Below are 16155 nucleotides of genomic sequence, written 5' to 3' on the forward strand. Positions count from 1 at the left end.
AATTAAGGCATAGAGAGATGAAATAATTTATCCAAGGAGGCACAGCTAGTAAGTGGGGAAACTCAAGATTCAATCCAAGCACTAAATAAATCTAAGGTTTCTTCTTCCACTACAACCTCTGCCAGTAGAATGGAAACAAGAAGAAAAACTAACAAAACCAAATGTCATAGCTATTTAAATATGACAAAACTGAAATCACTTCCCCAGCTGTCTTCTGGATAGTATGTAATGTGTGTGCATCTGTATATGTTTGCAGAGAACAATCTATTCAATGGAGAGAATGAGGTAGGTTAGAGAGAGCTATTTTTTAACTTCAAAAACATAGTCTAAATCAAATGCATTCATCTTGGTGTAAATCTGTAATTGGTTCATGATGACAACTGGACTGTTTTTGACAAACTAATTTTCCTCTCTCTTAAAAGCAAGGCACTTGGGACAACCACTCAGCACTCCTTTTCTTTCTCCCTGTGAGGCTCTGTCTTGATCTTCCATCTTTTGTTTGGAGTCTCTCTTCAATCCTTTTCCCTTTGTCTCCTTTGCTTATTCTCTGACTCTCTCCATCTATCAAAACTTGTTTAATAACAGCTTAGTTAATCCCTGATGGCCTTATTTCCCCTGACTTCTGCATTTTTGGTAACTTATTTTCTGGTCTTGAATTTGTCTGTCCCTAGTTTATAACTTTCAAATTGCCTTCCTTTGAATGAGCAATAAAGTGAATTAGATCATGCCATTTCTCTGCCTAATACCCTTCAATATTTTCCCATTGTTCCTAGGGTCATCTGAACTCCTTAGCCTGGCCTGCAAGGTCCTGCATGATCCAGTCCTTTCTATTTTTCCTGCTTGGTCTCATTCTATGACCCTCTCTAGTTCCCCAACGTCTGTGCTCTAGCCAGACAAATTTCTTTCTTCATTTATTTTTTCTTTCCTTCTTTTTTTTTTTAATTTGAGTCACTGTTTCCCTCTGTCACCAGGCTGGAGTACAGTAGTACCATCATGACTCCCTGCAGCCTCGAGCTCCAGGGCTCAAGAAACCCTCCTGCCTCAGCCTCCATAGGTGCTGGGACTACGGGCATGAATCCACCCTACCCAGCTCTCGCGTTTGTTTCAGATATTTCAACCTCTGTTTCCAAGCCTTCCCACATGCTGTTTCCTCTCTGAGAATGCCTTTTATGTGCATGTGCATGCACGCACACACACACACACACACACAACAATTTTTGGCTGATTTTTTAAGTATTTAAAGAAATTTCCCTTCTGCTGAAAGCTTCCCTTGAATCTCCTAAATGATAATATGTTTATTATTATTATACTTTAAGTTTTAGGGTACAGGTGCACAACGTGTGCAGGTTTGTTACATATGTATACATGTGCCATGTTGGTGTGCTGCACCCATTAACTCATCATTTACATTAGGTATATCTCCTAATGCTATCCCTCCCCCATCCCCACTACCCCACGACAGGCCCCAGTGTGTGATGTTCCCCTTCCTGTGTCCAAGTGTTCTCACTGTTCAATTCCCACCTATGAGTGAGAACATGCGGTGTTTGGTTTTTTGTCCTTGTGATAGTTTGCTGAGAATGATGGTTTCCAGTTTCATCCATGTCCCTACAAAGGACAGGAACTCATCCTTTTTTATGGCTGCATAGTATTCCATGGTGTATATGTGCCACATTTTCTTAATCCAGTCTATCATTGTTGGACATTTGGGTTGGTTCCAAGTCTTTGCTATTGTGAATAGTGCTGCAATAAACATACGTGTGCATCTGTCTTTATAGCAGCATGATTTATAATCCTTTGGGTATATACCCAGTAATGGGATGGCTGGGTCAAATGGTATTTCTAGTTCTAGATCCCTGAGGAATTGCCACACTGACTTCCACAATGGTTGAACTAGCTTACAGTCCCACCAACAGTGTAAAAGTGTTCCTATTTCTCCACATCCTCTCCAGCACCTGTTGTTTCCTGACTTTTTAATGATCACCTTTCTAACTGGTGTGAGATGGTACCTCACTGTGGATTTGATTTGCATTTCTCTGATGGCCAGTGATGATGAGCATTTTTTCATGTGTCTGTTGGCTGCATAAATGTCTTCTTTTGAGAAGTATCTGTTCATATCCTTCACCCACTTGTTGATGGGGTTGTTTTCTTCCTGTAAATTTGTTTGGGTTCTTTGTAGATTCTGGATATTAGCCCTTTGTCAGATGGGTAGATTGCAAAAATTTTCTCCCATTCTGTAGGTTGCCTGTTCACTCCGATGGTAGCTTCTTTTGCTGTGCAGAAGCTCTTTAGTTTATTTAGATCCCATTTGTCAATTTTGGCTTTTGTTGCCATTGCTTTTGGTGTTTTAGACATGAAGTCCTTGCCCATGCCTATGTCCTGAATGGTATTGCCTAGGTTTTCTTCTAGGGTTTTTATGGTTTTAGGTCTGACATTTAAGTCTTTAATCCATCTTGAATTAATTTTTGTATAAGATGTAAGGAAGGGATCCAGTTTCAGCTTTCTACATATGGCTAGCCAGTTTTCCCAGCACCATTTATTAAATAGGGAATCCTTTCCCCATTTCTTCTTTTTGTCAGGTTTGTCAAAGATCAGATAGTTGTAGATGTCTGGCATTATTTCTGAGGGCTCTGTTCTGTTCCATTGGTCTATATCTCTGTTTTGGTACCAGTACCATGCTGTTTTGGTTACTGTAGCCTTGTAGTATAGTTTGAAGTCAGGTAGCATGATGCCTCCAGCTTTGTTCTTTTGGCTTAGGATTGACTTGGCAATGCGGGCTCTTTTTTGGTTCCATATGAACCTTAAAGTAGTTTTTTCCAATTCTGTGAAGAAAGTCATTGGTAGCTTGATGGGGATGGCATTGAATCCATAAATTACCTCGGGCAGTATGGCCATTTTCACGATATTGATTCTTCCTATCCATGAGCATGGAATGTTCTTCCATTTGTTTGTGTCCTGTTTTATTTCGTTGAGCAATGGATTGTAGTTCTCCTTGAAGAGGTCCTTCACATCCCTTGTAAGTTGTATTCCTAGGTATTTTATTCTCTTTGAAGCAATTGTGAATGGGAGTTCACTCATGATTTGGCTCTCTGTTTGTCTGTTATTGGTGTATAAGAATGCTTGTGATTTTTGCACATTGATTTTGTATCTTGAGACTTTGCTGAAGTTGCTTATCAGCTTAAGGAGATTTTGGGCTGAGACGATGGGGTTTTCTAGATATACAATCATGTCATCTGCAAACAGGGACAATTTGACTTCCTCTTTTCCTAATTGAATACCCTTTATTTCCTTCTCCTGCCTGATTGTCCTGGCTAGAACTTCCAACACTGTGTTGAATAGGAGTGGTGAGACAGGGCATCCCTGTCTTGTGCCAGTTTTCAAAGGGAATGCTTCCAGTTTTTGCCCATTCAGTATGATATTGGTTATGGGTTTGTCATAAATAGCTCTTATTATTTTGAGATACGTCCCATCAATACCTAATTTATTGAGAGTTTTTAGCCTGAAGGGCTGTTGAATTTTGTCAAAGGCCTTTTCTGCATCTCTTGAGATAATCATGTGGTTTTTGTCATTGGTTCTGTTTATATGCTGGATTACATTGATTGATTTGTGTATGTTGAACCAGCGTTGCATCCCAGGGATGAAGACCACTTGATCATGGTGGATAAACTTTTTGATGTGTTGCTGGATTTGGTTTGCCAGTATTTTATTGAGGATTTTTGCAACGATGTTCATCAGGGATATTGGTCTAAAATTCTCTTTTTTTGTTGTGTCTCTGCCTGGCTTTGGAATCAGGATGATGCTGGCCTCATAAAATGAGTTAGGGAGGATTCCCTCTTTTTCTATTGATTAGAATAGTTTCAGAAGGAATGGTACCAGATCCTCCGTGTACCTCTGGTAGAATTCGGCTGTGAATCCATCTGGTCCTGGACTTTTTTTGGTTGGTAAGCTATTAATTATTGCCTCAATTTCAGAGCCTCTTATTGGTCTATTCAGAGATTCAACTTCTTCCTGGTTTAGTCTTGGGAGGGTGTATGTATCGAGGAATTTATCCATTTCTTCTAGATTTTCTAGTTTATTTGCATAGAGGTGTTTATAGTATTCTCTGATGGTAGTTTGTATTTCTGTGGGATTGGTGGTGATATCCCCTTTATCATTTTTTATTGCATCTATTTGATTCTTGTCTTTTCTTCTTTATTAGTCTTGCTAGCGGTCTATCAATTTTGTTGATCTTTTCAAAAAACCAGCTCCTGGATTCATTGATTTTTTGAAGGGTTTTTTTGACTCTATCTCCTTCAGTTCTGCTCTGATCTTAGTTATTTCTTGCCTTCTGCTAGCTTTTGAATGTGTTTGCTTTTGCTTTTCTAGTTCTTTTAATTGTGAAGTTAGGGTGTCAATTTTAGATCTTTCCTGCTTTCCCTTGTGGGCATTTAGTGCTATAAATTTCGCTCTACACACTGCTTTAAATGTGTCCCAGAGATTCTGGTATGTTGTATCTTTGTTCTCGTTGGTTTCAAAGAACATCTTTATTTCTCCCTTCATTTCCTTATGTACCCAGTAGTCATTCAGGAGCAGGTTGTTCAGTTTCCATGTAGTTGAGCGGTTTGGAGTGAGTTTCTTAATCCTGAATTCTAGTTTGATTGCACTGTGGTCTGAGAGACAGTTTGTTATAATTTCTGTTCTTTTACATTTGCTGAGGAGTGCTTTACTTCCAACTATGTGGTCAATTTTGGAATAAGTGTGGTGTGGTGCTGAGAAGAATATATATTCTGTTGATTTGGGGTGGAGAGTTCTGTAGATGTCTATTAGGTCCGCTTGGTGCAGAGCTGAGTTCAATTCCTGGATATCCTTGTTAACTTTCTGTCTCATTGATCTGTCTAATATTGACAGTGGGGTGTTAAAGTCTCCCATTATTATTGTGTGGGAGTCTAAGTCTCTTTGTAGGTCTCTAAGGACTTGCTTTATGAATCTGGGTGCTCCTGTATTGGGGGCATATATATTTAGGATAGTTAGCTCTTCTTGTTGAATTGATCCCTTTACCATTATGTAATGCCCTTGTCTTTTTTTATCTTTGTCTGTTTAAAGTCTGTTTTATCAGAGACTAGCATTGCAAACCCTGACATTTTTTGTTTTCCATTTGCTTGGTAGATCTTCCTCCATCCCTTTATTTTGAGCCTATGTGTGTCTCTGCACATGAGATGGATTTCCTGAGTACAGAACACTGATGGGTCTTGACTCTTTATCCAGTTTGCCACTGGGTCTTTTAATTGGAGCATTTAGCCCATTTACATTTAAGGTTAATATTGTTATGTGTGAATTCGATCCTGTCATTATGATGCTAGCTGGTTATTTTGCTCATTAGTTGATGCAGTTTCTTCCTAGCCTCGATGGTCTTTACAATTTGGCATGTTTTTGCAGTGGCTGGTACCGGTTGTTCCTTTCCATGTTTAGTGCTTCCTTCAGGAGCTGTTGTAGGGCAGGCCTGGTGATGACAAAATCTCTCAGCATTTGCTTGTCTGTAAAGTATTTTATTTCTCCTTCACTTATGAAGCTTAGTTTGGCTGGATATGAAATTCTAGGTTGAAAATTCTTTTCTTTAAGAATGTTGAATATTGGCCCCCACTGTCTTCTGGCTTGTAGAGTTTCTGCTGAGAGATCAGCTGTTAGTCTGATGGACTTCCCTTTGTGGGTAACCCGACCTTTCTCTCTGGCTGCCCTTAACATTTTTTCCTTCATTTCAACTTTGGTGAATCTGACAATTATGTGTCTTGGAGTTGCTCTTCTCGAGGAGTATCTTTGTGGCATTCTCTGTATTTCCTGAATCTGAATGTTGGCCTGCCTTGCTAGGTTGGGGAAGTTTTCCTGCAGCATGTTTTCCAACTTGGTTCCATTCTCCCCAACACTTTCAGGTACACCAATCAGACGTAGATTTGGTCTTTTCACATAGTCCCATATTTCTTGGAGTCTTTGTTCATTTCTTTTTGTTCTTTTTTCTCTAAACTTCTCTTCTCACTTCGTTTCATTCATTTGATCTTCCATCACTGATACCCTTTCTTCCAGTTGACTGAATTGGCTACTGAAGCTTATGCATTCGTCACGTAGTTCTTGTGCCATGGTTTTCAGCTCCAGCAGGTCCTTTAAGGACTTCCCTGCATTGGTTATTCTAGTTAGTCATTCGTCTAATCTTTTTTCAAGGTTTTTAAATTCTTTGCCATGGGTTCGAACTTCCTCCTTTAGCTTGGAAAAGTTTGATTGTCTGAAGCCTTCTTCCCTCAACTCATCGAAGTCATTCTCCGTCCAGCTTTGTTCCATTGCTGGTGAGGAGCTGCGTTCCTTTGAAGGAGGAAAGGCGCTCTGATTTTTAGAATTTTCATTTTTTCTGCTCTGTTTTTTCCCCATCTTTGTGGTTTTATCTACCTTTGGTCTTTGATGATGGTGACGTACAAATGGGGTTTTGGTGTGGATGTCCTTTCTGTTTGTTAGTTTTCCTTCTATCAGTCAGGACCCTCAACTGCAGGTCTGTTGGAGTTTGCCGGAGGTCCACTCCAGACCCTGTTTTCCTGGGTGTCAGCAGCGGAGGCTGCAGAACAGCGAATATTGGTGAACAGCAAATGTTGCTGCCTGACCGTTCCTCTGGAAGTTTTGTCTCAGAGGGGTACCCGGCCATGTGAGGTGTCAGTTTGCCCCTACTGGGGGGTGCCTCCCAGTTAGGCTACTCGGGGGTCAGGGACCCACTTAATAATATGCTCTTGTTATATGCCTACCAGTAGTCTATACTTATGCTACTATAGCATTTACCACCTTGTATTGTATTTGCTGGCTTAATTGTCTGTATTCCTTAACTTACTACCTATTTCATCTGCCATTCTATACCCGAGGCTAGAATGGAGCTTTGTACACAGTAGACTCTCAATAAATATTTGTTGAATTAATAAATAATATGTTGTTATTCTTCTTGCATGCTTTAACCCCAAAACAAATTTTCATAATTCTTAGTACTAGTATACAAGAAAGCAAGTTGGAATATTTTTGGTTATAAGGAACAATGAATGCAGACTAGCTTAAACAATCAAGGATTGGTTGGCTTATGTAGCTAGAAGAATCCAGAGACAAGATAATTATCAAAGATGGTTTTATCCAGTAACTCTGGTTCTGTTTTCTCTGGCATACTGTGATATAGCTGCAACTGCTCAGGCTACACATCCACAGGTCCAAGGGGTGAGAGAAAACACTCCCATCCAAAAACCCTAAGCAAAAGTTCCAAGGTTTGTTCTGATTAGATCACTTAGGCCACATGGCCAGTAAAGAGCCAGTACAGGGACCAGGGTAATATAATATGCTGATGGCTTAAGCTTCCCACTCCCCAAATAATTGGGTTGTGCAGGGAAGTATGGCTTATTGAATACAATTTGGAATATCATTAAAAAGAGAGAGATGGGTGCTGGCTACAGCTAATAATGAGTCTGCATTTGTCACTACATATTTTTCCATGACTACATTCATAGTGATTTACAGGGCATATGTTGTATATCCATATATGCTGAGATGGTATGGGACATACCATCTTATTGGGCAAGATACTACCTCTGCCCAATAAGAACGTAAGTTCCAGATGGCATAACTCTTCTTCTACCCATCATTTCAGATGCAAACAGAAGTTTATTTGGGATTCTGGACGAGTGGAGAGGAGGAATTACTTGTATGGCTTTGCCCATTTGAGGATTCAACATCTTGGTAACACTCAGTTTTTATGTATATTTTTTAAATGCTGGAATTTTATGAAAATAACAGAAGACTTATTTGAGTATAACTGAACCCCCATTAGAAGATGAGATCTCTATATGTTTTACTATATCACTAACTGCAGTATAAAGAATATATACTCATAGTATCATGTTTGAGTTCCATTGCCTCTGCTATGATTTGACTGTCCTCTCCAAAACCCATGTTGAAATTTAATTACCAATGTAACAGTATTGGGAGATGGGGCCTTTAAGAGGTGATTAGGTCATGAGGGTGGAGCCTTCATAAAGGTGTTAATTTTTATGGAAGTGGATTAGTTATCCCAGGACTGAGTTTCTTTTATCAGGAACCCTCTCCTGGGATAACTAACCCACTTTGACCCCATTTCTCTCTCTGTCTCACATACTTCTTTGCCTTTCCACCATGTTATAATGCAGTAAAAAAGCCCTCACCAAATGCAGCCTCTGGATCTTGGACTTTCCAGCCTCCAGAACTGTCGGCCAAAGAAATTGCTGTTCTTTAAAAATAACTCAGTTTGTGGTCTTCTGTAATAGCAGAGGAAAATTGTCTAAGACAGCCTCCTTCCCAGAAACTGCAAAAATCCTAAGCAAAAGTTCCAGGCATGGAAGTAGGCATAACCAAGTGAATTTCCTTCAGTGTGGTCTGGCCTGGATATGCTATCTTCTTACATTATATGGGTTCTAATGAGCTTCTTCTCAGCATCATTCTGTGATGTAACAGTCCTCATAGCATGGCTGCCTTACCATGACTGGCAGAAAATTTTTATTCTCTTGATTAGTAACCACTCGAAGTTACATTTCTTAATGCAGAGGCTTTATTGACTATTTTTTAGAGCAGTTATTCAAACATGCTCTGCTAAATCCAAATGCTGTTGCTCATTGCCTTGGGAATGGCTTCTCTCTGTTTGACCTAGTTTTCCATTCCTATATTTCTCTAACTGGAAGTCACTTTATTTCATCTATTCTGCATCAGTGAAATAACATTTAACATTCCACTCTTTCAGGATAGAAAGGGTAGCTCTCAGATTTGTCCCGAATTTAAAAAGTTATCTGCCTTAGGCAGAAACATGACTCTTTCTAAACTGACCACAGAAACATCCTCTCTGCCTTTATTATCTCAGAGATTTTACTATTCAACCCCAGACTACCAATTTTTTTTTATTATTATACTTTAAGTTCTAGGGTACATGTGCACAAAATGCAGGTTTGTTACATATGTATACATGGGCCATGTTGGTGTGCTGCACCCATTAACTCCTCATTTACATTAGGTATATCTCCTAATGCTATCCCTCCCCCCTCCCCTCACCCAACGACAGGCCCTGGTGTGTGACGTTCTCCTTCCTGTGTCCAAGTGTTCTCATTGTTCAAGTCCCACCTATGAGTGAGAACATGTGGTGTTTGGTGTTTTGTCCCTGCAATAGTTTGCTGAGAATAATGGTTTCCAGCTTCATCCATGTCCCTACAAAGGACAGGAACTCATCCTCTTTTATGGCTGCATAGTATTCCATGGTGTATATGTGCCACATTTTCTTAATCCAGTCTATCATTGACGGACATTTGGGTTGGTTCCAAGTCTTTGATATTGTGAATAGTGCCACAATAAACATACGTTTGCATGTGTCTTTATAGCAGCATGATTTATAATCCTTTGGGTATATACCCAGTAATGGGATGGCTGGGTCAAATGGTATTTCTAGTTCTAGATCCTTGAGGAATCGCCACACTGTCTTCCACAATGGTTGAACCAGCTTACAGTCCCACCAACGGTGTAAAAGTGTTCCTATTTCTCCACATCCTCTCCAGCACCTGGAGTGACTTCATTTCCACCTTAGAAAACAGCACCTGTTGTTTCCTACCAATATTAGCAAGGTTTACAATTAAAGTCACCACAAGTAGGATAAAAAGGATATTGGTCAGGTCATTTAAGAGTGTGGTTCAGATTACAGGTTTGTAGGAAGAGATTCAATACATAATACCTTTGCTTCTTACAGATATCAAATCAACTAGACATCAAACCCCATTTGTGTTTGCTAAGTACTCTCTCATCCATAAAAAACATGGAACAGTAGTACACAGACACTACAATTCACAGCCTCTAATTAAAATTGCCACAAGTAGCAAGTTTATTTATTTGAGGTTCATTTATTCTTCCTGAATGCCTCCTTCGGGGAATCATAGAAGCACTGAATCAAAAATAAATGTTGAACATTGTCCTTCACTCAACAAATAGACACTGAGCACCTGTTATGTGTCAAGTACTCTGTTAGTCACTGAAGATATAAAGCCAAAAACAGATAGACTGATATTTTCATGGGTGGCAGACATGAAACAGCTCTAATAAAATATAGTGAAATTGTATAGAGAATTTGTAAGCTGCTATGGCAGTGGAAGTCTGGGGGAGTTAACAGGGTCTAGGGAAAAGGAAAAATTTCCTGTAGAGATCATATTTAGGCTCAGACATGAAGAGTCAGTAAGAGGCAGTCAGAAAAATGGGAGTAAGGGAGAAGGAAAGGGCAAAGGAAGGATTGTGTGCATAAAAATCCAGAAGTAGAGATGGTTGGGAGAGAGATGGAAGAGAGAGGCCTGAGGAAGATCGAGGTGAGTCTGGAGATGGAAACAGAGATTGGTTGTTGACTCAGTGGCATAAGTCCAGTGGGAATCATGAGAGGGAAGAGACAGGAGGGAGGCAGGTCATGGAAGAGTAGACTTCAAGGAGTCATTGGAGATTTTTAAAAGAGGACTGGCGTGACTTCATTTCCACCTTAGAAAACTCCCTCTAGCAGCTGGGTGGAGAATTGACTGATGATGAGCAAGACTGGAGGCAGGGATGGATAGTGATCTGGGTGAAAAATGATGGTGGCCTAAACCCATGTGGTGACAGTGAGGATGGATGAACTGGGTGATTTCAGATATTCACAAGGCAAAAATCCATGTGACTTGGGGATCACTTAGTGTTAATTCAAAAATACCTGGACAGTTCAAATGTATAGCATTATTTGACTATGGGTTTTACTTAACTGTAGCAAATGCTGTTGGTATCCTCCCTTCCCACCCCTCACCAAGCTTCCTCTGCCCAAGTCTGAGACCACCTGTGGACAGTTGGCATACAGAGATAACTGCCTACATTTGTGTCAGACAGCATCCTCTGGCCACCAGCATGGAGCAGGCCAAAATATAAGCAAGTCAATGCCACCAAGAGTGACTCTCAACCAAGGGTAAATGGAAATTGTGTATAAATATTCCAACTTCCTTGTCCTTTCATGGGACAATGCTAAGGTGTGTTCTAGATAGTCTCTCCGAGGCTCCTCATTGAGACTGAGCCCTTTGTGCACATAGTGATCACCCACTCATTAAAAAATCTCTATTGGATTTCTGACCCCTGGGTCTACTGCCCTGTCCCCAACTTCTGCTTCCTGGGATCAACTTCCAGATAAATCACTTAACAAAAATCCTTGACTTAGGGTCGACTTTAAGGGGAACCCAAATTGAGCTTTATATTGTTTTTACATTTATGAGCTGAAAGAGAATGTTTTAAAGACACATTTTAAAGCCTTTAAATTTCATACTCACTTAACTGATGAAATTTTACTCTCCCACTTCTTCAACAGTATAATTTAGTCTTCCACCTTATTAGTGTTGGATGATCAGTTTTTAGTTTTAAAAGTGAAAAGGTCTTAAAGTAGGGTTTTAAAGTGTGTCTAAAAATTTTATTCTTTAAAACCTCATTGTTCTGATGTTCTCTGCTATTATTACCAAACATAAGATCCCTAGAAAGCTGCCTGATTTCCTGATAAAAGTAATATAAATATTATCAAGTGGTCATTTGCAGGAAGTTGATATTTAAAGCAATACATTTTATTAAAACTGAAATTATCCCTCACTTCAATTACAAGTAACCAGAAACTTCATGTATTAGAATTTCCTCTCATCTTTCAATTTCACTCCCATTGATGTTCATACCTAACCATGGGAAGAAAGGGGCACAGTTTAGAATGAATACTAGAGAGACAGATGAGGTGAAAGAAGGGAAAAAGGAAACAAGGCCAGAGAAGTCAGTATTAGAGGAAAAACTGGAAAGTGCATGTATTAGCTTGCCAGGGATGCTGTAACAGAGTGCCGCAGGCTCGGGGGGCTTAAACAACGGAAAGATATTGCCTCAGTGTTCTGGAGGCTACAAGTCTGAAATCAGGGTGTCAGCAGAGTTGGTTCCCACTTGAGGACTGTGAGGGAAGAATCTGTTTCAGAACTCTTTCCCTGGTTTGTAGATGGCCATCTTCTCCCTGTGTCTTCACATCATCTTCACTCTGCATGCATGTGTCTGTGGCCAACTTTCCTCTTCTTAGAAGAAAGAACAGCAATCTTATTGGATTACAGCCCAGCATAAATACCTCATTTTAACTCAATTACCTATAACTAAATATAGTCACATTCTCACTAGGGGTTAGCACTTCAACATATGAGTTGTGGGAGGACACAATTGAGCCCACAACTTAAGAAGGACGAAATATTTCTAAGGGTGTGTTCTGAGCCCAGTAGGGTTTCCTTTAAAGCTTGGTGCTTTTAACAATCTCAATGCTGATAGTGTTTCTTCAGAGTGAATTAAGAACAAAATCCTCATTGCAAATGTTATTATGTACAGAGTAATATAATTATGGAAGCAATGAAACATATAATTAGGTCAGGTTTTTTTGGCTTTGCAATCTTTTCTGGCAAAGTTTTCTTTTTTTTTTTTTTAAATTAAATTTTAGGTTCAGGGTACATGTGAACCCTGTTCGGGTTTGTTACATAGGTGAACTCATGTCACAAGGGTTTGTTGTACAGATAATTTCATCACGTAGGTATGAAGCCCAGTACCCAATAGTTATCTTTCTGCTCCTCTCCCTCCTCCCACCCTCCACTCTCAAGTAGACCCCAGTATCTGCTGTTTCCTTCTTTGCGTTCATGAGTTCTCATCATTTAGCTCCCGCTTACAAGTGAGAACATGAGATATTTTGTTTTCTGTTCTTGTGTGTTATTTTGCTAAGTGTAATAACCTCAAGCTCCATTAATGTTCCCACAAAAGACATGATTTCATTCTTTTTATGGCTGCATAGTATTCCATGGTGTATATGTATCACATTTTCTTTATCTGTCATTGATGGGCATTTAGGTTGATTCCATGTCTTTGCTATTGTGAATAGTGCTGGAATGAACATTTGCATGCATGTGTCTTTATGATAGAATGATTTATATTCTTCTGGGCATATGCCCAGTAATGGGATTGCTGGGTCAAACAGTCGTTCTGCTTTTAGCTCTTTGAGGAATCACCATACTGCTTTCCACAATGGTTGAACTAATTTACACTCCCACCAACAGTATATAAGTGTTTCCTTTTTTCCACAACCTCAGCAGCATCTGTTATTTTTTGACTTTTTAATAGCAGCCATTCTGACTGGTGTGAGATGGTATCTCATTGTGGTTTTGATTTGCATTTCTCTAATAATTAGCCATATTCAGCTTTTTAATATACACTTGTTGGCCATATGTATGTCTTCTTTTGAACAGTGTCTGTTCATGTCCTCTGCCCACTTTTTAATGGGGTTGTTTGTTTCTTCTTGTAAATTTGAGTTGCTTATAGATGCTGGATATTAGACCTTTGTCAGATGCATAGTTTTCAAATATTTTCTCCCATTCTGTAGGTTGCCTGTTTACTCCATTGATAGCTTATTTTGCTGTACAGAAGCTTTTAAGTTAAATTAGACCCAACTTGTCAATTTTTGCTTTTTTGAAATTGCTTTTGGTGTCTTTGTCATGAAATCTTTGCTCGTTCCTATGACCAAGATGGTATTGCTTAGATTGTCTTCCAGGGTTTTTATAGTTTGGTGTTTTACCTGTAAGTCTTTAATCTATCTTGAGTTGATTTTTCTATATGGTGTAAGAAAGGGGTCCTTTCTGCATATGGCTAGCCAGTTATCCCAGCACCATTTGTTCAATAGGGAAGTCTTTCCTTGTCGCTTGTTTTTTGTCAGCTTTGTTGAAGATCAGATAGTGTAAGTGTGTGGCCTTATTTTTTGGCTCTTTATTCTGTTCCATTGGTCTATGTACCTGTTTTTGTACTAGTACCATGCTGTTTTGGTTACTGTAGCCCTGTAGTATAGTTTGAAGTTGGGTAACATGATGCCTCCAGCTTTTTTATTTTTGCTTAGGATTGCCTTGGGTATTCGGGCTCTTTTTTGTTCCATATGAATTTTAAAATAGTTTTTTCTGGTTCTGTAAAGAATGTCTTTGGTAGTTTGATAGGAATAGCACTGAATCTGTAAATTGCTTTGGTCAGTATGGCCATTTTAATAATATTGATTCTTCCCGTCCATGAGCATATCATGTTTTTCTATTTATTTGTATCTTTTCTGATTTATTTGAGCAGTGTTTTATAATTCTCATCATAGAAATCTTTCACCTCCCTGGTTAGCTGTATTCCTAGGTATTTTATTATTTTTGTGGCAATTGTGAATGGGATTGCATTTCTCTTTTGGCTCTCGGCTTGGCTGTTGTTTGTGTACAGGAATGCTATCAATTTTTGTACATTGATTTTGCATCCTGAAACTTGAAGTTGTTTATCAGCTGAAGGATCTTTTGGGCTGAGGCTAACTTTTCAGAACCAGCCAGATCTAACCATCCCCAACAATAATAGGGATTTAACAGAGCATGACAAAAAAAAAAAAAAAAAAAACCCCAAACGTGCCTTTAGGGTGTGGAAGAAGGTACATTTAGAACAGAGGAAGACTCACTTCTCTCCTCAGAACTATGAATGGGAATGAAATCTTCAGATACTGTTTTATTTTTATTTTAGAAAACAAAGGGTTTTCTAGATATAGAATCATGTTGTCTACAAACAGAGATAGTTTGACTTCCTCTCTTCCTATTTGGATTACCTTTATTTCTTTCTCTTGCCTGATGGCTCTGGCTAGGACTTCCAATTACATTGAATAGGAGTGGTGAGAGAGGGCATCCTTGTCTTGTGCTGGTTTTCAAGGGGAATGTGTCCAGCTTTTGCCCATTCAGTATAATGTTGTCTGTGAGTTGGTCATAGATGGCTCTTATTACTTTGAGGTATGTTCCTTCATTACCTAGTTTATTTAGTAGAAAACAGATAATTTGTATAGAATCAAGTTTTGAAAGCAAATGGGGTTATCTGGTGATCCACTGGCTAATCAGAAGTCTAATTAGGTATGGCTCATCTTTCATTACACATTGTATTAATGAAAGTGTCAATTTGCTGTGGCTTGTTATTACCTATGAACAGTGGGTTCTTCCCAAGATTTCCAGATCGTTCCTGCAGGAAAGGCAACAACGGCTACACAGAGTGAGAGCACTTTCTACACATTTGGCTCAATTTCATAATCCCACAAAGGGAGTGGCAGTTGCGTTTCTGCTGTAACTTGTCTCTAATTGTCTCTGCAGCCACAAGCTGCATGCCATGCCAGCTCATCCATCCCTCTTTGGGCTTTTCAAGCTATCTCTCTCACTCAGTGGAGGTAACCATGGCCATAACACAATGTGGGGCACTTCTCAAGCTGGCATTCAAGTCAAGTATTGAGTTCTAATTCAGACACACCCCTGTCGTCCCCTACAGTGCCTCTGTCAGTCCAGTTCTCTGCGTGACTCTTCCTTTTCCTCATGCATGGCTGGGGGCAAACAAAAAAATTATGCCTACTGCAATCATCTAAAATGAAATGTTTCAGCCTTCTGTACCTACATTTTATTAATAAGTATTCATTCTTACTGGGCCTTGTCAAGAGCTCTTGCTGGGAGAACAATTAGTTTAGTATATAATCACTTTTGATGACTTCCTGGATTTCACACGAATTCAATTTTAATGGAAAGCATAACCTTTTATATTGGGATGTATCAGAAAGCAAATAGTTTACCACCTGCCAACCATCTGATCTCACTTCATAATCTTTATGTTAAAGGAGATCATTTTATAAGGTGGGAAAAGCATCCATGAAACATAAGATGTCTATCAGGTTCCCAGACTCATTTCCTCATTGAGCAAAGTGGTCTCTACCCTATTAGCTCAGATTAGGTGGCCATATCTGCAGATCACAAAGGACAATGGGGGTAGGGTAGGCAGTTGGGGAGAAACAAAGAAAGAAACTACCATTTCCCAGCACCCAAGTAGTGTTAGATGCTAGATTGGATTCTTTGAATGCACATGTCGTCTCATTTAATCCTCCACATAAGTCTGTATAATAAGGGATACCATTCCCTTTTACAGATAAGAAATCTGAATCCTAAAGAGGTTTAAGAACTTGGCCAAAATCACATATGTGTGTGGAATTGAGGCTGAGCCTATTTAGGGGGAAGAAAGTCTTGCGGTTTTTCTACTACACCCTTTTGATTTTAAGCCATTTTT

The 16155-nt window shown here is 39.3% G+C and overlaps 1 long non-coding RNA gene across 1 annotated transcript in view; it reads left to right on the forward strand.

The window, feature by feature from the left end:
* Window positions 1-204: 204 nt before the first annotated feature.
* Window positions 205-16155, forward strand: part of LOC105374111 (uncharacterized) — a 35387-nt gene continuing 19436 nt past the window's right edge. Inside the window, exons 1-2 of the long non-coding RNA XR_924489.3 lie at window positions 205-285; window positions 7640-7728. This is a non-coding gene — a long non-coding RNA (uncharacterized LOC105374111). The remainder of the gene's footprint in view (window positions 286-7639; window positions 7729-16155) is intronic.

The sequence above is a fragment of the Homo sapiens genome, chromosome 3 (genome assembly GCF_000001405.40).
Source record: "Homo sapiens chromosome 3, GRCh38.p14 Primary Assembly".
NCBI lineage: Eukaryota > Metazoa > Chordata > Mammalia > Primates > Hominidae > Homo > Homo sapiens.